General features: G+C 34.7%; 1 long non-coding RNA gene across 1 annotated transcript in view, besides 1 other annotated feature; it reads left to right on the plus strand.

Annotated features, from left to right (window-relative positions):
• Nucleotides 1–5,142, plus strand: part of LINC00333 (long intergenic non-protein coding RNA 333) — a 466,167-nt gene extending 461,025 nt beyond the window's left edge. Inside the window, exon 7 of the long non-coding RNA NR_046871.1 lies at nucleotides 5,080–5,142. This is a non-coding gene — a long non-coding RNA (long intergenic non-protein coding RNA 333). The remainder of the gene's footprint in view (nucleotides 1–5,079) is intronic.
• Nucleotides 4,612–5,111: an enhancer, noted in NCBI's record as "H3K4me1 hESC enhancer chr13:85180373-85180872 (GRCh37/hg19 assembly coordinates)". NCBI's record gives its function as "activates a minimal SCP1, AML or CMV promoter by ChIP-STARR-seq in primed H9 embryonic stem cells {active_cell/tissue: H9 hESC(primed)}" and the evidence as "EXISTENCE:reporter gene assay evidence [ECO:0000049][PMID:30033119]".

A 23,286-nucleotide genomic window follows, 5' to 3' on the forward strand; every position in this document is an offset into this window, starting at 1 on the left:
TTCCTCTTCCTCTCTTCCTCAGCCTACTCAACACAAATATGATGAGGATGAAGACCTTTGTGATGATTCAGTTCCAATAAATGAATAGTAAATATATTTTGATTATGATTTTTAATAACTTTTCTCTAGCTGACTTTATTGTAAGAAGACAGTATATTTCACTCCCCTAACCCCCAAGTTGTTCAAGGGTCAACTGTATTTACATTCAACACATTATTAAATTAAATATAAAGGGTTTGAATCATTTAAAAGTTTAAACTTTTTTATTGATAAATAATAGTTTTACATATTTTTTGAGTACATGTGATTTTTTTACATGCATAGAATTTGTAATGATTCTAGGTATTTAGGGTATAAATCACTTTGAATATTTATTATGTCAACATTTTGGAAAATTTCTTTTCTAGTTATTTTGTTACTTTTATTATTATTTTTTTTTTTGAGACGTAGTCTTGCTCTGTTGCCCAGGCTGGAGTGCAATGGTGCAATCTTGGCTCACTGCAGCCTCTGCCTCCTGGGTTAGAGCAATTCTCTGCCTCAGCCTCCCGAGTAGCTGGGATTACAGGCACCCGCCCCCATGCCTGGCTAATTTTTTTGTATTTTTAGTAGAGACAGGGTTTCACCATCTTGGCCAGGCTCATCTTGAACTCCTGACCTCGTGATCCACCCACCTCAGCCTCCCAAAGTGCTGGGATTACAGGTGTGAGCCCTTTTGTTACTTTTTATATAAGGCATACAGATCTTTCATTCTTGTTCATCCGTTCTGGTAGCTATTAATTTGTACCTGTTAATTGTACAAGGTAATAGAGTGTATTGTATATTAATAGGTACATTCTTGTTCATCTGTTCATCCTACTAATAAGTAATAGGTACAAGAACAGATAAACAAGAATGTACCTATTAATATACAATACACTGTTGTTGACTACACTCACCCTACTCCGCTATCTAACATTAGAACTTGTTATTTTAATCTAACTTTATGTTTGTACACATTAACCAACCCTTCTTTATCCAACCTCCACACCCTGTCTACCCACACACACTTCCCAGCCTCTGGTACCTATCATTCTACGTTTTACATCTATGAGATTAACATTTTTAGCTTTCACATATGAATAAGAACATGTGATATTTGTCTTTCTGTGCCTGACTTTTTTCACTTAACATAACGACCTACAGTTACATCCAGGTTTCTGAGAATAACAGGATTTTATTCTTTTCTAAGGCCAAATAGTATTCCATTGTGCGTATAAAGCACATTTTCTTTATCCGTTTGTCCAATGATGGATGCTTAGTTTGATTCCATCTCTTTGCTATTGTGAACACTGCTGCAATAAACATTGGGGGGCAATAAACATGAGAGTACAGGTATTCATTTGATCTACTGATTTTCTGTCCTTTTGATAGATACACAGTGGGAGAACTGCTGGATAGTATGGTAGTTCTATTTTTCATTTTTTTTTTTGGAGAAATTTCTATACTGTTTTCCACAGTGGCTGTATAAATTTACATTCTCAGCAACAGTGTATAAGAGTTCCCTTTTCTCCACATCCTTGCCAGGATCTGTTACTTTTTGTCTTTTTAATAATAGTCATTCTATTATTATCTTGGGTAAAATGATATCTCAGTGTGGTTTTAATTCCTATTCCCCTGGTGATCAGTAATGTTGAGCATCTTTGAATGTACCTGTAAGTCATTTATATGACTTTTTTTGAGAAATGTCTATTCATGTCCTTTGCCTACTTTTTAGTGGGATTATTTGTGTTTTTACTGCTGAGTTGTTTGAGCTCCTTCTATATTCCTGATATTAGTGCCTTGTTGGATGAATAGTTTGCAAGTATTTCCTCTCATTCAACAAGTTGTCTCTTTACTCTGTTCATTGTTCCCTTTGCTGTGTAGAAGATTTTTAATTTAATGAAGTCTGATTTGTTTATTTTTGTTTTTGTTTCCTGGGCTTTTAAGGACTTAGCCATAAAACTTTTACCTAGACCAAGGTCTGAAGGCATTTCCCCTGTGTTTTTTTTCTAGTAGTTTTATAGCTTTGAGTGTTACATATAAGTCTTTCATTAATCTTGAATTAACTTTTGTATAAGGCAAGAGATAGGGGTCCAGTTTCATTCTCCTGAAGATGATTATCCAATTTTCCCAGTATCATTTATAGAAGAGCTTGCCCTTTCCCCAATGTATAGTCTTGGCACCTTCGTTGAAAATTGATTGGTTGTAGATTGATGGATTTATTTCTGGGTTCCCTATTCTGTTCCACTGGTTTTTGTCTGTTTTTATACGAATACCATTCTTTTTCATTGCTGTAACCTTGTAATATATTTTGAAGTCAGGTAATCTCATGACTTGTTATTGGTCTGTTCAGGTTTTCCTTTCTTTTCTTTTCTTTTTTTTTTTTTTTGAAATGGAGTTTCGTTCTTGTTGCCCAGGCTGGAGTGCAATGGCACAATCTCACTGGAATCTCCGCCTCCCGGGTTCTAGCAATTCTCCTGCCTCAGCCTCCCGAGTAGCTGAGATTACAGGCATGTGCCACCACTCCCAGCTAATTTTTGTATTTTTAGTAGAGATGGGGTTTCACCATGTTGGTCAGGCCGGTCTCGAACTCCCGACCTTATATGATCCACCCGCCTCGGTCTCCCAAAGTGCTGGGATTACAGGAGTGAGCCACCACACTTGGCCTGGTCTGTTCAAGTTTTCTATGTCTTCCTGATTCAATCTTGGTAGGTGTCCACCAGTTTATCTATTTTCTCTAGGTTTTCCAGTTTGCTAGCTTATAGTTGTTCTGATAATCTTTTGTATTTCTTTGGTATCAGTTGTAATGTCTCCTTTTTCATTTCTGATTGTAACTTGGTTTTTCTGTCTTTTTTACTGGGTTAGTCTAGCTAGGAATTCATAATTTATTTTTTAATCTTTTCAGAAAACCAACTTTTCACTTAATGAATTCTTTGTATTTTTTTAGTCTCTATTTTGTTTAGTTCTTCTCTGATCTTTATATTTCTTCTACTCATTTTGGATTTGGTTTGTTCTTGCTTTTTCAGTTCCTTCAGGTATATCAATAGATTTTTTATTTGGAATATTTTTTGATGTAGGTGTTTATTGCTATAAACTTCCCTCTTAGGTCTGCTTTTGCTGAATTTCATAGGTTTTTCATATGTTTTGTTTTGATTTTGTTTGTTTTAATTTCTTTTTTTGTTTGTTTGACAGTCTTGCTCTGTCACCCAGGCTCGAGTTCAATGATATGATCTCAGCTCACTGCAACCTCACCTCCAAAGCTCAAGCAATCCTCCTGCCTCAGCCTCCCAAGTAACTGGGGCTACAGGCATGTGCTGCCATGCCTGGCTAATTTTTGTATTTTTGTAGGACAGGATTTTGCCATGTTGCCCAGGCTGGTCTTGAACTCATGGGCTCAAGCAATCCACACCCGTCTGCCTCCAAATGTGCTGGGATTACAGGGGTCAGCCACTGCACCCAACCTTCAAATTTTGTTTTTAATGTCCTCCTTAATTTATTTCATGACACAATGGTTGTCAGGAGTATGTTGAGTATTTCCCATGTATTTGTACTGTTTCCACAGTTCTTGTTATTGATCTCTCGTTTTATTATATTGTGGTCAGAGAAGATACGTGATATGATTTCAGATTTTTAAAATTTGTCGAGGTTTGTTTCGTGTCCTAACATATGGTCTCTTCTGGAAAATATTCCATGTGCTTATGAGAAGAATGTGTACTTGCTGAATGAAATGTTCGGTAGCTGTCTGTTAGGTCCACTTTACCTAAGGTGCTATTTGATATTTGGATCCTACATTTCTTTGTTAATTTTCTGTCTAGATGATCTGTCTGAAGCTGAAAGTAAGGTGTTAACGTCCCAAACTATTAATATATTGCAGTCTATCTCTCTCTTTAGATCTAATAATATTTGTTTTGTATTATCTGATACCGCAGTTTTGGGTGCACACATGTTTAAAATTGTTATATCCTCTTGCTAAATTTATCTCTTTATCATTATATAATGACCTTGTTTGTTCCTTTTTACTGTTTTTGACTTAAAGTATTTTACATGATTTAAGTATAGCTGGCACCAGGGTTAGCAGGTCCAGGTGAGCCAATTCATGGGCCTTCATGAAGCTTGCTCAGGTGCTGAGAGTGGCAGTGGTGGGCTGGGCAGGTGGACAGGTATTCAGGACTCTCAGCAACAGGTATGGCATAAGTAACAGCAGTAGCAGTGGTGAGACACACTTCTGACTCCCAAGCAGTTCATGCTGGTGTTGACAGTGACAGTGGTGGGGTAGGTGGGACAGTCCCCAGGTCTGCAAGTGGCATGCACAACTATGCTGGTTGTGGCAGATTGAGTTGGCCCAACCTCAGGCTCCCAGGAAGAGTGCTTTGGTGCCAACATTAGTGGATGGGGCTGTGTGAGCCCGAGGCACCCAGGCACTTTTTCGGGCAGTAGGGAAGGGTAAGGAGTGAAGCTGGTTTTGGCAGGCCTGTCTGTCCTCAAGCCCCCTGGTGGTACATGCAGGTGTGGGCTGTTGTAGGTAGGGGTGAGTTGATTCCCAGGCACCTGGTGGAATGCTCTGGTGGCAATGGCAGAGGATGAGCTGCAGCCCCACTGCTGGGGGTGGTGGAGTTACTGCTAATGGCTTGCGCTTTGGCCCTGGTGGCAGCAGCCAACAACAGCAGTGGCTGCCAGTGGAATTTATCGATAGGGCTCCAGGGATGCAAAGATGCAGGCAGTGTTGGGCTCCAGGGTGGGACGCAGTCTGAGGGGGGCTGGTCTCTCAAAAATGGTGCCTTGCTACAGCTGCTTAGGACTCAAGGGGTGTGTGGGACTCATCTTGAGCTCCCTCTCTGGAACAGAGCTGTCATGCTGTCTCCAGGAAGCTCTTTATGTTAATTTCAGGGTATGCAAGGGTAAGAGGCTCTCCCATGGGTAGGACCACAGGAGTCCCTCAGAGGTATGAGGATTGCTGGGGGTCTCTTGCTTACCTTTTTCCCAAACCAGGGAGCTTATCTGGGATACTAGCCAATCCCAGTTTAGTAGGCTATTCTGACTCTCTCTTCTTATTTGCCCTAGGTGTTTCCTGTCACTTTTCTGGTGAATTCCAGTGTTCTTTCTTAGATGACCTATTTAGAGTGTAATTATCTACTCATTCTGTTGGTTCTTTGAGGAGGAGGGAAGTACCATATGCCTCTAGTCAGCTATCTTGAAGCCCTTCCAATTTTAAGAAAATATTGAAGACTTCCCAGTGTTAGGATAAGCAGTCATCATGAACAGTACCTGTGAGTATGCCTTTATTAGTACTTGCATGCCTTTAATACTGCAATACTCTGTAGCAGTGTTTTCTCACCCACTAAAAATGAGAGCCATAGGAAAACCCTGATGTTGCTTGATTCTTCTCTGGACACATTTAAAATTGCAGTTTTAATTCTGGTCTGTAACTGTAGAGCCAAATATGAAAGGAGAAAGAAATGGGGGAAAAACCTATTTTATTGCTATTTTTCATCACACGAAACACAGGCCTTCTCCCTCATTCCTTCTTACTCTTGCTTCCCATACTAAATATTAGAAAGATGAGGAAAGGTGAAAATAAGGGATTATTCTTTTATCTTCTCTTTTCTTGTCCTTTTACAACCATCCTGTTCTATACTCCCATTCTATCCAGCTCTCTTGAGCATCAAGTTTTAAAGGCGGTAATAAGGGCAAAACATAAAAACAGTGTAAAGCACAAGGCCCTGGATGGCTTTGGATTTGGCCCAACATAAGCTCATAAAGTTTCTTAAAACATTATGAAGTGTTTTTTTTGCGATTTTATTTTTATTTTTGGCTCATCAGCTATCATTAGTGTTAGTGTATTTTGTATGTGGCCCAAGTCAATTATTCTTCCAGTGTGACCCAGGGAAGCCAAAAGATTGGACACACGTGGTGTAATGTGTAAAAAGAGAAATAAAAAGCAGAGCAAAACAAAGTAAGATTCTCATTACTTCTAGTCCCTGCCTGTCAATTGAGTAAAATCATATCTTCTCCTTTACCATTACCTTAGTTAGGGCAACTAAAGCAGGATTTACAACAAACATGTGAAAAATCCCAGTGGCTTAATGAAATAAAAGTTTATTTCTCTCTTACAAAGAGTTAATTTCACTTGTACTCGATTGGGCAGCTCATGGCTGGCCTCCAAGGAGTGATTCAGGAATCCAGGCTTCTTCCAACTTATGATATCATCATCTCTAACATGTGGGCTTTAATGCCTCGAGGAGAGGTGAAAGAGTATGAGGAAGGAACACTGCAACCCACATCACTTTAACTTTACATTTCTATTCACCAGAGCTGGTCTCACATGAATGGAAATAGGTAGCAGCTGCTCAACAACAATTCTACTCTGTATAAAGGTGCAGAGACCTTAAGTGTTCCATTAGTTTTCTATCTTTGCCATACACCCCATAAGAGATTCCATTTCTTTTTATTTCAAGTCCCTGTTTGTCCACTATGTTCCCAGTCTCTTTCATCAACCTAGAATGTATACATAAGCTAACAGTTCTGTATGAAAGTCCATGATCTTAAATGTTACCATTGAATTGAGAACACATATATTTGAAGAGTCCCAATATAGGCTTTGAACACACTTACTTGAAAAATTGTTGATGGGTAAAATTATTTGGATTTATGTTTTTATGAGAACAATAAAATACATCAGGGATATTATGGACTAAATAGGATTTTGTAGGGAGGAATTAGAACTAAATCATCTCACGTAACAATAATTATATGAAAAATGACTCCAAACATAATTGATATTTAATGTTAAGCAAAATATATAAATTGATGGCTGCACATAACAACCTTTTAGGGATGGGCATGCAAGTGGAATTCTGTAGGGGTGTGATGATTCTTTTATTACAGAAGCAGCTGTAAGAAGATAACTCAGAATACACATGTTCTTTCATCAGGTGTTTTGTTGTGCTTTTTTTTTTTTTTTTTTTTTTTTTGAGACAGAATTTCACTCTTGTCCCCCAGTCTGGAGTGCAATGGCATGATCTCGGTTCACTGCAACCTCTGCCTCCCAGGTTCAAGTGATTCTCCTGCCACAGCCTCCTGAGTAGCTGGGATTACAGGGGCGTGCCACCACACCCAGCTAATTTTTTGTATTTTTAGTAGAGAATGTTTCACTATGTTTCACTGTGTTGGCCAGGCTGGTCTCGAACCCCTGACCTCAGGTGATCCACCCACCTCAGCCTCCCAAAGTGCTGGGATTAAAGGCATGAGCCACCATGCCTGGCCTCATGGGGTGGTTTTTAAAAATTATTTGTTATTTTTTTGTTTATTAATTCCTCTAGGAGATAATAGACATTAGATTTTTCCCTCCACAGACAGAGACTGAAGTATTTTATCTTGATAATCTCAGGTCACAGCAGTGTTTGACCTATCTTTGGAGCTCAAACACTTGCTCACTTAAGTTCTACAGTCAGAAGGAGGATTTTTGTTTCTTTCTGCTCTGTGTAAATCAGCTAAGAGCTGCTAAGGAAAGGTCATTGATCTTCATAGATATAGTAGAGAAAAGCATTCTGGGTCCATTTCTCTGATGAAGCATAAAAACCTAACAGAGGCAACTCACTCTGGTCAGTAAATGACCACAGAGATTATTTTAAAGATGGTACTCTAAAGGAAGAAAGATAAATTTGTTGAAGTTATTTTATTAAGGGAAAGTTTTAAATATATTTTTTCTTGTATTAAAATAGAAAAGTTACTAGATTCGTGTTATAAGTTATAGTTGAGAATTTATTAGCAGAAAAACTCTTTGAGATTTACTGCTTTTCATTGTTTTAATATATTGTAACTTTGATATGTTTATATCTTCTGACTTTATTTGATTGATATACATATAATTATTTAAATTATTTTTGTTTACTTATATAAATTATTTGATTTCATTTTTTAAATTCCTCTATATTACATGATGGCCAAGTATTTGAGACTATAAGGAAAAAGTATATGGTTCCTGGTCTCACAAATATAGAGATCAGGGAAAGAGGGAAAAGAAAAATAATACAATCTGATAAGAGCTTGGATATACATACAACAATAGAATATGAGAGCTATATTCAACACAGGGAAGGGAAAAATACATATTTTGTTGTTAGTTTGTTATTTAACTGTCTTTCTTAACCAACTGAGCCAGGTGGGGATCAACAATTTGACTTATATATGAAATACCAGTGCTTCATAATGGCTGGGTCTGACTCATGCTAGTTGCTGAGTAAATGATTATAGAACTGCTTACTTGGCAAAAAGACACTACCTAATCTATGTTGCTGTGTGTCATGATCTTGTGGCAGATGGTCTCAAAGCTAGGATGCATCATGATGATATCAAGTGTAACGGGAATGTCACATATTTCTATTCTGAATGCAGTTATTGAGGACTTCACTAAGAAACTGGTTAAAGGCTTTTTATATATATTCTCACTTAAACTTGTGTCCTATGAGGTAGATTCAACTCTTACCCATATTCTACAGATAAAAAAAATGGAACCTTAAAAAAAGTAAATGACCTACATGCTCAATGTCACCAAATTTTAACTTAAAAAAAAATAATTAAAAAGAAGATCATATGCCAGATACTGGTCTCCTAACCAGAGTATTTCCTACCTTTTAGTTTTCCTTTTTTCATTTTCTAAAATAAGTTGTAATCATAGTCATATTTATGGTTAGGTTTTTATTATGCCACACTTACTGGTCCTCTCAAATTAATCCAATATTTATTTATATGTTAGTAAATATATGTTAGTAAATATATATGTCATGGTAAGATGTATAACTCAAAACTTACTATATGATTTTTAAATGTTTAATCAGTTGTTACATAAACTAAAATAAATTGCATTATAAACACAAACTGTTATAAATTGTGAGGTGTTTTTACATGTTATCTTCTGTGTTGTAAAAAAAAAGTATATACTAGTTATTATTATACCTATATCACAATTGAGGAAACCAGAGAAAATTCGTTGTGAATTGCTCATTTGGAAAATGAGAAAATAATATAAGGCAGCTTTAGAAAAAAAAATCACTTACTGTTATACTGGGAGTCATGAATAATAATAGAACCAGAGATATTAAATAGACCAGGCCCAGGAATTACAGAGTGATCTAGTTTGGATGTCCCCTCCAAATCCCACGTTAAAATGTAATGTCCAGTGTTGGAGATGGGTCCTGTTAGAAAGTGATTGTCTCACGGGGGTGAATTATGAATGGTTTAGCACCATCTCCTTTGTGCTGTCCTTGAGACAGTGAGTGAGTTAGTCATGACATCTGGTTGTTTAAAGTGTGTGACACTTCTCCCACACCATTTTCTCCTGGTCTCTCCATGTGATATGCCTAATCCCTCTTTGCCTTCCACCATGATTGTAAGTTTCCTTAGGCATCCGAGTAGATTCCAGCACTGTGCTTCCTGTAAAGCCTGCAGAACAACAATCCAACTAAACCTCTTTTCTTTATAAATTACTCAATCTCAGGTATTTCTTTATAGCATCACAAGAATAGCCTAACACACAGAGCTACCAAGAAGATAGATTAGATACATAGATAGATAGATAGATAGATAGATAGATAGATAGATAGATAGATAGATAGATACATAGATACATAGATACATAGATACATAGATACATAGATACATAGATACATAGATACATAGATAGATGATAGATAGTTAGAGGCTCATACGTAAGTATTTATCTCCATATAGACAGATAGATAGATACAAAAGCTACATTTCTCACTAAAATTTTGATGGCAATTTGCTTAAAGTTTTCCCTTATTTGGATAGTTTTTTCTGTCTTTGGATTCCTTGGGTAAACATCCTTACCTTCCTTAATGCGTGTATTTTAGTTCCTACTTACCATGTGCTAAGCCCAAGTTGCTCTCTGGTAAATCGCATTTCAAATTCCCAAATTCGACTGTCTCAGCATTAGATCAGATGCATTTCTCATTCAGTCTTTCAGTCTTCAGATAATAAAGGCCTGAAAGGCATGCAGTATGAAGAGTGATGCTGAAGAAACACTTCCCTATGTGGACAGCACCGTTCCCAGAAAATAGGACTAAGTTTTCATGATATTACATCTCTTTATTGCTCAGTGTACACGTTCTTATTTCCCAAATATGCAATTCCAATAATAAAATATTTTATCAAAATATCACTATCGCAAGTCAAATGTCAGGAGCATTCCTTCCTCTTTCGGGAGGGAACACAAAATCTGATCAAGCTATTACATTCATGGGCCATAATATGAAGCCACTCTTCTCTGTCTGTTATGCTAAGGTGAATTCCAGATTTCCATTGGTGTATTCTAATTTTTATACAAGTATGACATTTTTATTCTGCTGAATATGGACCACTCCCAATAATCAGAAAATAATCATTAAACAATACCCTAAATTTAGCTTCTGTTCAGAATAAAAAGTATGTAGAGAAAAAAATATATAGTAGATTGGTCAGTGATGCAAGACCTAATATTTCCTGTTTTACATGGATAACAATGTGCATGATGACATCAAGTATCCAGACCAATTATTTGAATCCCCTGGACTGCCCACCTGGCTGCATAATATGTTTCTCATTTTGATAATTTCTTTGGCCCAGGGATGTTTAAGGCCTCCTATAAGAAAGGAATTAGTAATGAATTCTGTGTGTTTGTGAATGTGTGAGAGAATGATGTGTAAGGTGGGAGGTAACTAGCATTTTGCCGTGAATCAGATGTCAGAATGCTGAGTTTTGTTGTCTGTAACACTATTTTGCTTTCTTTTTCTTTTCTGTCTTTGTTTGCTTGTTTGTTTACCCCATTTGGAGCTAACTAAAATTGTGATTTATTACAAGTACATTTTCTTTGGAAGGAAGGAACAATTTGCTAAAAACCAACAGAGTTTCAGTCACATGCAGAAACTCACTTATTGTTCATCTACCTAATTTCCAAGTTGCTAGAATACAGAATCTGATTGTCTTAGCTCAGGTCAGTCACCCATCCCTTTTTCCACAAGCCATCGTCAGAAATACAGAGCAAGCATCAGCAATGTCTATGCTAAGAACCCACCCTGTGAATGCGTTGGACACTTCCCATTGAAGAATAGATGAACACAAATTTCTGTGTATAAATACACTCAAAATTCCAATACTCTTTCCTCTAAGCCAGTATAATTATTGACTAAATGTGCAAGTGAAAGATGTAACTCTGTTCATTTTCAATGAAGAATTAGCAAGAAAACTGCAATTCTTTATTTGATGTTACCATTTTCCATTTTTCTTACAAACAAAAATGTAATATTGGGGAAGATATTGAACACTCTGAAATGCTACTGAGAGTCTAGCAGGGACTTTCAATATTCTTTTTGGAATCAAAGGATAAATGAAGAAAGGAAAGTGATGGGGATGCTGACAATAGGACTGAATTAGACAGAAATTATGGCTGTTTGGAGACAACCTAGAAGAAAAAGTATGGTAGAAGATCCTGAGAAAATGATCAAAAATATCAGTGTGATGTGTTCTTAGTCCTTAGGACTTTTAAAGTTCAATCCTCATTGTAAGCATAACTATTTATCTTCTTTCTGACTCTTTTATCCATTATCTCCTCTCCCCTATATTTTCTCTCTTGTCAAAAAAAGTACTTTTGTTTATTGACGATACAGAGTTTTAAACTACCTGAAACCAAAGTGCCTATTGTGGAAAGTTTTATGTCTGACAGCTATATTTTAGCCAATAAAAGAATAATAAAATAATAGCTTGACTCCTTCTTTGTTTTTCTTCGAAGGCAATGAACACTACAACTAGGGCAATAACCTAGCCCAATCTCCATCATTTCATGCGTTCACTTTGTGCTACATTTCACAAACCTTTGGCGATCTTTACTTTTTACCTTCTACATCTAAATATGTAAATGGCTACATATCAAGAAAATAATATTAATTATATGTAATTCCCTGCTTAACAAATGATGGTGAAATAATAAATGAAATTTTAAGACCAGTAAAAATAATGAAAACATTCTAGAGATACTAATAAGAAAAAAGAAATTCAAGATATGCTAACTGTTGAGAAAAAATACAGTATGTTATAATTTTTGTATACATATATTTATACTGTGTGCATATGTGAATATATTGTATAGATATTATTTACCTATATTATATAAACATATTAAAGTATACATTATACTTAAACAGTGTTTACCTCTGAGTGATAAGAGATAGCAAGAGACTTCTGTAAACCTGTGTTATATGTGATTTTCTTTTCTGTGTATATATATGTACATAAATCCTTATATTGTTGTAATTATTCTACTATCAGTGGATTGTACTTTTTAATCCATTAAATATTCTTTTAAATCCAGTTTTTGAAAGAGTTATGCAATCTTCTCTATAAAATACATTGATAAAAATATAGATTCATATTGGAAATAAAAATACATATTAACAAAAAGGTAGATATTTACTGATTTAACATTTTTATTATACTTCCATACTTAGGCTATAGTATTACAGAATCACACACAAAAATATTTGGATGAAATTCTAAACATATAATTACATAATTTAACAACATATTCTGAATTATAATATAAAATATTTCAAAAGATATAAATAAAATACACCTTTGGGCATATCAAATAATTGTAAAAATCACCTTTATGTGAGTTTTGTTCCATTAATATTATGACTCATCCTTCTAGAATAATAAACACTTTAAGCTGGCTACGTAGCATTTGCTCATTTCCCTCAGTGAGAGCATTAAAATTTCACCTATTACCCTGTTACTTGGGAAGATAGACTATGTCATTTGGTATAACACTGGTGATTTATCTAGTCTGGCATTTTCTCTTCTAAAAATACATTTTGAAGATCATTCTTCCCTCTGTGCTCATGAAGACAACATGGTTTAGAATTTACAAAAGGGTAGAAATTTATCTTAAGCAAGAGTATGCCAATTCCATGTGACATTTATCCTCTCAAGCCAGATGGCAGTGGGATGGAATTTGGGTCCTTCTTTTTCTTTTGTATATTATTCAAAGATTAATTAAATGTTCAAATTGAAAACCAACAACAAACCTAAATAATTCCATTATGTATTTAGCTAACTCTGTCAATAAATGAAAGAAGAGTGTCTAGTCACTATTATTAGTTCATTACATGAATATTTGGTTGATGGTTTTAGTAGCATTGATGATCAGAACTGGAATATAAATATATAATGCTCACAAGAAAATTTCCAATGAATTGTTATAGAAAACTTATATTATTTCACCAAGGAGCTTCAAATCTGCTAATCAGTTCCATACATTTCTGCCCCTTTCCTGAAAAAACCTCAGAAAAAAAGATTGTATTTTTTTTTTTTTTTTGTCTGGATGTTTTGAAGTGTTCCAGCAAAGATGTGACTTTAACTGTACAGGCAGTCCTGACCTTCTAGCAATGTCATTAAAAATCGAGAGACATAGAGAAGATATAGAAGGTGGCATCCTCAAATTTAAATTGGCCCAGAATATATTACAGATTTAGTATCACTTATCCAAAACACTTGAACCAAAAAGTGTTTCAGATTTCTGATTTTTTCAGATTTTTGAATATTTGCATTACACCAGGCTGGCTGAGCATCCCATTTTTGAAAATCTAAAATCTGAAATACGCCAATAAGCATTTCCTTTGGGCATTATATCAGTGCATAAAACGTTTTAAATTTTGGAGCATTTCAGATTTGGGATTTTTAGATTTGAAATGCTCAACTTGTAACACCAGTGTGACAGAGGTAGACCCTTCATGCAGCTTCTGTGAGAGATGTATATTTTTGCCATAATTATTTACCTAACTCAGATTATTGGTTACCACAAAATATATGCTCATCAGAAAAATACTGGTCCAAATTTGCTTTTCAAGCATGTTTATTTAATTGTAGTATAATGAAGACAAATCTTCAGAGCTAGTTGGCATTATCATTAATTTATTTGGACTTTTGTGGAAAACAGAGGAAACTTGAAACCTAAATGGCCTTTTGGATGCCAAAGGAAAAAAAAAAAAAGAATTTGTTGAGAGTAGATCAAGTTCTAACAATGCTAACCTTTAACACTGAGTCTACTGTGAGATCTGGAATGAGAGAACTGCTTCAAGAGAGTAACATTAATTCTAGGAAATGAGAAATATACATTTAGGAAAGATAAATGAAAGGCACTTGAAGAAGAATATTATCTAGCTTTCTTCACCAGAGAGGTTCTCAAGTAAATTGGAGAACCTTCTACCTATGGTTCTCTGCATACACACAACTCAGCATTTTAGATTGGATAGCTGGTAGAGGTCTTATTCTTTTGAGGAACTAAGTCAAATATTGGTATGTTATAGAAATAAAAATTCCATTTACATTTCTTTGAAGTGGAAGGGAAGTTATGACCCCGAATATTTCACTCTTATTACTTAATTGAAGATATTTTGATCATTCACATGTTAGGCCATTGTAAGGCAATAACATAGGGTACATACATGTCTCTGCTAAATCTAGACTTTTTCATGTGATAAAGAGTATATTTTTGCTTTTTCCACTTCTCTACTCAATATAAAGTGTCTGTATCATTCACCTCATCCTCCACAACTCTGCTCCCTTTGAAACTCCTGCATTTGGCCCTTAACATCATTCCCTACCAACAATGTTAGCTTCTTAAGATGAGGTTTTGAAGTACATCTCAAATGAAATAATAGACTCCTCTTTTGCTTGGTACTCATTCTAATAAGAAAGGGTAGAGGAAGGTGTTCAGTGACAAGAAAACCTCCTCAAATTTATTCATTACTAAATAATTTTACATCAGCCTATCATACTTGGATTGTGAATTTGCATGTCTTTGAAATTCTAATAGCTGTTAGGTCTATGACAGAAAATGCTTGTAATAGCCCTAGCTCAAATAGATCTCAATGTCTTCATAACCTCTGATTAGATGTTTGAAGATTATGAGCAAGACAGGGAATAGAGGATGATAAACATTAAAGAATGAATTTAATTTTAAAAGTATTAAGGTTGAGCTGCTAATGAGACATCTGTGTAGATCGTGTCCCATAAATACTTATAGAAATGCAGTTAGAGCACAGAAGAGAGCAAATGGCAAGTAAAACATAAATCAGGACTACCAGCCTAAAGATTATGTCTCAAGATACAAGATTTAAATGATTACCTAAAGCTCACATTATATGTCTTTATCTAACAAGCCATTAAATAATTTTCCTCTTCCTTATTCAAGTTATGAATAAATTGAGAAGTAAAATAGCATATTCTTCAGATAAAACACCAAGAGATCATTTCTATGACTGGTAAAGCTAGACCAGAAGACACAGTTTGATAAATGTCAAATGAGCCTGAGATCTCCCTAATCATACTAACAGTCTACACAGGATACCCCATTAATAGGAAATGCAGAGTCTGCAAAAAAAATACAATTCAATGTTTTCTTTTGATTTAGTTGGAGGAAGGAGAAAATAATTGATTGAATTTCCTATGCCCAGCTGTGTTTCTGAATTAGCTGTTTTTAGAAAGGTTTGAGTCAAGGGCTATTATCCCTTCTCCCAACATGGTAGTTAATTACTTCATATAAGTTGGAGAAATTGATGGGGTAATAAACAAAGAAACAGAATCTTATGGTAGACAGTGTGGATTTTCATGCTAGAGATCTCTGTATGAGTCAGAAGATTGAATTAATTAAATCTACTCCAAAATTGCATATTACTCAAGATTGAAAATTCTCCCAGAATTATTATACCCTCCTCAAATTATTATTGTCCACTATGGCCTGTAATAACCTTCTGCAAGTAAGACCAAAGGACATCAACAACAACAGTTTTGCAAAAATGTCATTCGTATAGTCATGCTGTATATTGAAACACCTCATGGAGATAAAAATGTCCCAAACCAAAACAGGTTAAAGTTCAAAATGTTAAATGACAAATAATTAAAATCTGATGTAAATCTCTCTTGCATTTGTCTGTTAAAAATCCAAAAAAAATACCCCATTTTATAAGATGTGATTATTATCCATTGCATGCCTGTATCAAAACACCTCATGTACCCTATAAATATACACACCTAATATGTACCCACATAAATTAAAATTTAAAGAAATCCAACAAAATTGCTCATAGAGATTAGTTTTAGCGAAAGAGCTTTCCAAGATTAGAAAGAGTTAAGGGTCATTCAGTCGCTTTAGGCTTTAGTGTTTCTTACCCAAAAGTTCTACTTCTTTTAGGAGCTCACAAATTTAATAAATTTCTGGTCAAATTTTTTATTATTCTCACTTTAAATAGTCCAAACATTTAACAGAACATACACCATTTCACATTGGCTCTTTATTATTACTATTATTATTAATATTATACTTTAAGTTCTGGAATACACGTGCAGAACGTGCAGGTTTGTTACATAGGTATACACGTGCCATGGTGGTTTGCTGCACCCATCAACCTATAATCTACATTAGGTATTTCTCCTAATGCCATCCCTCCCCCAACCCACCCCCCCACCCTGACAGGCCCCAGCATGTGATGTTCCCCTCCCTGTGTCCATGTGTTCTCACTGTTTAACTCCCACTTATGAGTGAGAACATGTGGTGTTTGGTTTTCTATTCTTGTGTTAGTTTGCTGAGAATAATGGTTTCCAGCTTCATCTATGTCCCTGCAAAGGACATGAACTCATTCTTTTTTTACAGCTGCATAGTATTCCATGTTGTCTATGTGCCACATTTTCTTTATCCAGTCTATCACTGATGGGCATTTGGGTTGGTTCCAAGTCTTTGTTATTGTGAACAGTGCTGCAATAAACATATGTGTGCATGTGTCTTTATGGCAGAATGATGTATAATCCTTTGGGTATGTGCCCAGTAATGGGATTGCTGGGTCAAATGATATTTCTGGTTCTAGATGCTTGAGGAATTGCCACACTGTCTTCCACAATGGTTGAACTAATTTGCACTCCCACCAACAGGGTAAAAGCGTTCCTATTTCTAAATCATTTAAATTAGCCTCTAAATCACTTATCAGGTTAACTTATAGTCTCAGAACATAGTGTTACAAAAGACCAATTTCTTTTTATTTCTCCTCGAAAATTGGCTGAATTATTACTTTTCTGTAATTGGCCAAAAGCAATCAACACAACCAATTCATCACATTAAGTTTCAGTTTTTTGTTTTTGAGATGGAGTCTTACTCTGTTGCCCAGGCTGGAGTGCAATAGCATGATCTCGGCTCACTGTAACCTCTGCTTCCTGGGTTCAAGCGATTCTCCTGCCTCAGCCTCCCAAGAAGCTGGAATTACAGGCATGCTCCATCACACCCGACTAATTGTTTGTATTTTTAGTAGAGAAGGAGTTTCACCACGTTGGTCAGGCTGGCCTCGAACTCCTGACCTCGTGTCCACCTGCCTCATCCTCCCAAAGAGCTGGGATTACAGGCATGAGCCACTACTTCTGGCCACTAAGGTTCAGTTTTACCACTTCCCCCAGAGCTTCTAGTTTAGCAGACATGTGGTATGTGTACCTAGTTATTACAGATAATAATTTTACCAAATGTTTTGCCTCCCACTGTCAACATTTCATTTTTAGTTATGTTAGAAACCTGCTTTTAGTTGAAATTTATGTTAATTAGTCCATGCATTAAGAATAGCATCAAAAACTGGTGTTTTTAGATGAAGAAGCGTCTTGAAGATTGGAGGAAATGATATTTGGGAAATCCGTGTTTCTGGATAGTTTATTTGTATATTTTGAAACAAAGTTATTAAAATCTACAAATTTGCTGTTACTATATATTTCTGTTAAGATGAAAGTTCTTTTATGAAACTAATGACTCACAGTATCTCTAATAATGCTTTTATATCAACATCTATTTTTTATCATTTATTTTCCAGCGTTCTTTGGTTAGTATCAGTATTTTCTTGGTATAATTTTTTTTTACTTATTGTTATTTGACTCTATGTGTTCTTATAATTTTAGTAGCTTTGCTATAAGCAATGAAAAACTTACATTTTGAATTCACCTGGCATATTTATCTTTTATCTCAAGAATTTAGTACATTTATATTGATTTGCAAGTCTATGAAGTTTATGTTTTCTGATTTTCAAGATCTTCCTATGCATCTGTTTTCATTGTAGAGCCACATAACAAGCCTCAAGAGGAGCTAATCTCAGTTTAAATTGTAAGTAAAAAGAAAAAAACAAGAAAACATAACGGGACAAAACAAACAAACAAGCAAAGAAACAAACAGCATCTGACTTTTTAACTGAGAATTGGCCTTACCCTAATGGAGAAGAGAGAGTGTTATCTTGTGAACATAAACAATTTCAAAGACTATCCACATGGTATAAAGTCACTTGTTAAGTGTGATGATGTATGACCTCATAATACTATCTGAGCACAAAAGAGAACTGAAAAGGACAACTGCAGATCCACTAACAGCAAGTTTTTATTTCCTTTGGGACTCAGTACTTGGCTAAGTGCAATCCTTGTTCCTGTAACTTTAAAAGCTTAGTGTTTTTTGCCCAGTGAATCAGTTGTTTTCAATAGCAACCTCCCTCCACTATTTATCAGCTAAATTTTGGTGATGAAACTGTCATGACATTATTACTTTTACTTTCTTACCATCGGTTAGATGGATCAAAAAGTTCATTCTTTGCTAGTTTATTTATTCATAATTTTGAGTTTTTACATTCTACTCTTTTAATGATTCCTCCAGAAATTGAATATGCATATATTTAAAAGCCTAAATTTGATGCATATTTTATTTTACAGTTAGCACTTTACTAAATGTATACTATTATTATCTAGCATTTTAAGGCTATTTTATTTTATTTTTTTAAGTCTATTTTGATTAACCCTGTTATTTAGATATTTACTATCATTTTTATATATCTAATAATTACTTAGACACACCTATAATTTTCATTTTCTTGAATATTTACTACATCTCAGAAATTATTTGAAAGTATTTTTCTTATTTGTGAATCATATATTTAGACATATTTTAAATGAGTATTTATTGGTAGCAAACTTAGATTTTCATTTAATTTGAAAATATCTTTCCTCTACCTTTGTTTTTATTCAGACAGCTAATAAACAACAGATTGAATATGGTTTTTTTCTAATGGATTATTTATTAAGCATTTCTGGCTTTTGTTGTTGTTTTTAATTACCTGTTAACCTAATTGGTATTTCCTTCCTCATAATCTGTTATTTCTTTCTTATATGACCTGCTAGTTGTATTAGCTGTTCAGCCGATATAGAGATATATCTAGGAGTTGATATTTTTATTCTGCTTCCTTTTGTACTTTCTGGATATTAGGATTTATCCTGTTCACCATTTGAGTCAAATTCTAAGGTAGTATCTTTTCACATTTTATGTTTCAACCATTCTCTTTATTTTTACATTATAGAATACCAGTTAAATATATGTTAAAATTTCACACTTCATTCACCATGGCCCTTACCGTTTTAATATATTTTTGCTTTTTGTTTGTTTGTTTCTAATGCTCTATTTTCTAGTTAACACTCTTTTCAAAAGTGTCTAGTCTGCTCTTTAAACATTCTTAAATGCCTCATTCATTTATGGAAGTACATTCTAATTCTTTCTAAACTTACACATTAAATTTGATAATCTTTTATATTTCACCAAAGTTTTAAACTCCTCTGACTAGCATGATTAAACTTTGTGCTGGACATAATTTTAGGCTAGCTTGAGTAGGACAGTCGAGCCTTGGAATTTATGTGAACTTGCCACATTATAATTTGTTTGGTCCATCTCACACATAGGCTTCAGTCCCCTGTGCCTAATCACACTCTTTTCTGTGATTCCATATTTAACATGTTTTTTTTTTATGTTTCAAGGAGCCCCCTAGATAGTCCTCAGCATCTCCTTTACTCTTTCCACAACCATCTTTTCAAAGTCTCAGCTCATATAAGCTCAGCCCACACCCACCCATTCCCTGAGACATTTCTGGCTGAGGCTATAAATGCCTCATTATGACACGAGTCTTCCTTCCCTTACTGAAATAGTTTTTCAAATAAGATTTCTCTTTAAGCCCCGATTTGCTTTAATTTGACATATCCTTAAATCTTAATATATATAACAAAAATATAATATAGATTCCATTTCTGATATTCTTCCAATATTTTAATGTTGCATTGATTTTCTAACAGAGTGGGTAATCATTAATGATGGATTTTTTCCTCAGGTATTTTGTAATTTTTAATAATGAATACTATTTTTCTTGTAATGATGGTTTAAAAAATCATTTAACAGTTGTGTTTGTGTGTGAAAGTGAATGGAGGGTGTTTGCCTGCTTCTGCCTGGTGTCTGTGCTCTAACAAATTAAGAGTTTAAACTATTTATAACTTTTTGAACTAGGATATCTCAGGTCATATAGGAAGTATGAATTTTGGCTTTCATACTTAACATAAATGAGGAATTGTGATTATGAATTCTCCAGGAAAACTTCAGTACATATTCTCACAAGTTCTGTTCCACAAGGAGCAAAAATTCAGAAGTGCAACTATTGTTTTCCACAGTTCTGCAGAATTTTTCAGAATTTGTGTCCCATTGAGAACATGGCCTTAATGAAGGTCCTGAATGTAGGTCAGAGGAACCAGATGACTCTCCATATTGCTCAAAATTGTTCCCATCACCCAGGTGGGGATAAAGAAAAGCTAGCTTCCACTTAACCTACGATTGGCAGCCACCATGTTGTAGGGTGTGTCATCGTTTCTGCAATCTGCCTTTCATTGTTTACCTCAGCCTAGTTGAAGAGCAGACAGGCTGTAAGATAATTTTTAAAAATGTTTTAAACACTTCTACTACTTATTAGGGAGGGGTGATGTCTCTACTTTTACTTAGATGCCAAAGTCCAGAATTGACTGTGATAAGGAAGTTTTTTCCTTAGCTATTTGATGTTTTGCCTGTCTTAAACCTATTACTACCATTTTGCATTTAAGTAAGATGCTGTAATTTTTATGGCTAATGGTTATAGCAAAAGAGTTCAAAAATACATTAAAAAGTGATAAAAAATATCTTCTTAAGCTATCAAAAAAACTTTGTAGTAATAGAGATATACTTTATAAATGTACAAACCTTGCTTTGTGTTTTGGTTTTCTGATATACATTCAGATTAAAATGATTTTAATAGCATGTTTCTTAGAAAAATTTTTGAAAATAGGTTGGAAAAATCAGTGGGTAGAATTTGGTTATATTTAATATAGTATGATTTAATCCTATTATATTTAAATCATTAGTTCTATATTATATATATATAATTATCTAGTTTAGCTTGTTGAATTTTCTGCACAGAATCATGTTTCATAGTATGTTACATTCAGCAGAGCCTTTATAAATTGCAATGCTATCTACTACTAAAGTTTCGCTAATTCATGAAGATAAATAGGATTATTCAACTACTTCCAAAATTATGTGTGTGCATAAATGCATGTATATATGTGTGCATATGTGTATATATGAAATATATATTAAATTATAATATATAATTACACATATTATATATCATATGTAACATAATATATAATTATTCTGATCTAATTTTTTCCTTTAGCTACTATCTTACTTTTCTTCGACTCTCTTGAGCTTTCCATTTCACTAAAGGACAACTCTATTATTTTAGTTATTCAGGCTAAAAATCTTGGCATCATTCTTGACCAGTTTCTTGTTTTCAGAGTCTACATTCAGTTTATAAGTAAATTCTGAAAACCTTAATTTTACATAGCGAGGATTGACCCATTCCCCTTCACCCACATTTCCACCACTTGAGCATGACACCTTTTTTCTTGCCTGAATCATTGGCATAGCCTCTTACCTGATCCTCGTGATTTTGTCCTTGCCATAGTAATGACGTCAAATTCTGTCTAAAAATTCTTAAAACATTCCTTCTGGCTGTCCACTTCACTTAGAATTTACTTGAAGTCTTTTCTGTGATCTTCAGTGTGGAACATTACCTGCTCTCCTCTTCTTAGTATCCTGATTTCTTCTTTATCCTCTCTCTTTCATTCAGTTGTTTCCAGCACACTGGCTTCTGACTCTACCTTGAATATGCTAAATGTGTTACAACTCCAAGGTTGTTGCTTTTTGTATGTCTCCTTGGAATGCTCTTATTCCAAACACTCTATTACTAGATTACCCACTTCATTGTTTAACTCAGAAACGCACTCTCTGGGAAGCCTCTTTCAGACATCCTATCTAAACTGTCAAGTCCCCTCTACCACATACGTAATTTATATTTCTTTGGCCTACTTTTCTTCTTGTTTTTTTTTGAGATGTGGTCTTACTGTGTTGCCCAGGCTGGTCTTGAACTCCTGAATTCAACTCCTGGCCTCCCATAGTGCTGGAATTACAGGTGTAAGCCAGTGCAACCGGTCTCTTTGGTCTACTTTGGCACTTATTAAGATCTAAAATTTGGTATTTTTACTTAATGTTTCTTGTTTATTTTGTCTCCATTATTAGAATATAAGCTACATCAAAGTGGGGTTTTTCATTTCCTCTATTTTAGAATCTATCGCCATTTTAGTACTTAGAAGAATGCCTGAGGCATGAATGATTTTCAAAAATACTTGGCTAATTGAATAAATGAGTCAGTGAATTAGATTGATAGATTGCCTCTTTATAGACTGAAAATAATTGTCCATAGAAATTTTGAAGAATATGCTTCACTATTTCTTTACTTTTAGTATTGGTAGGAAGTACTACAACCTGCTTCTTTTATCCCTACTCTGACCTTAGAGATTTCTCCCAAAACTCGGATGAGTTTAGAGTTTTGTTTTAATGTTGTCACGTTTTCCATTAGTGTAGGTTTTTCTTTGTTTATTCATTTGCTTGATGCTTAGTGGTGGGCAATTTTATTCAAAAACAAATGTCTTTGAATTGCAGTAATAAAACTAAATTCCTTGAAAAAGCCTTGTCTATCATGTTCTCTACTCTCTCTTTCTGGATTTCTTATTCATGACATGATATAACTCCTGCACCTGTTCCCTAATTTTCTTGTCTCATCTCTCCTCTTTTCAATTGCTTTGCAGTTTTGTTCTCTAGTCTGCCATATATTCTCAACTTTATATGCCAACCATTATCTTCACTTTTTTCATTACACAGATCACGTTTCACTTTCAAAGGCATCTTTAAGTGTTTGCTGAATGTTTTACTCTACAGAGCCTTTAATATCCCTCCCTTTTGAGGATATTAAGTATTTTTAAGCTTTTTTTCTGCTTCATACATCATCTGTTTCCTCA

This window comes from Homo sapiens, chromosome 13, assembly GCF_000001405.40.
Source record: "Homo sapiens chromosome 13, GRCh38.p14 Primary Assembly".
Lineage (NCBI taxonomy): Eukaryota > Metazoa > Chordata > Mammalia > Primates > Hominidae > Homo > Homo sapiens.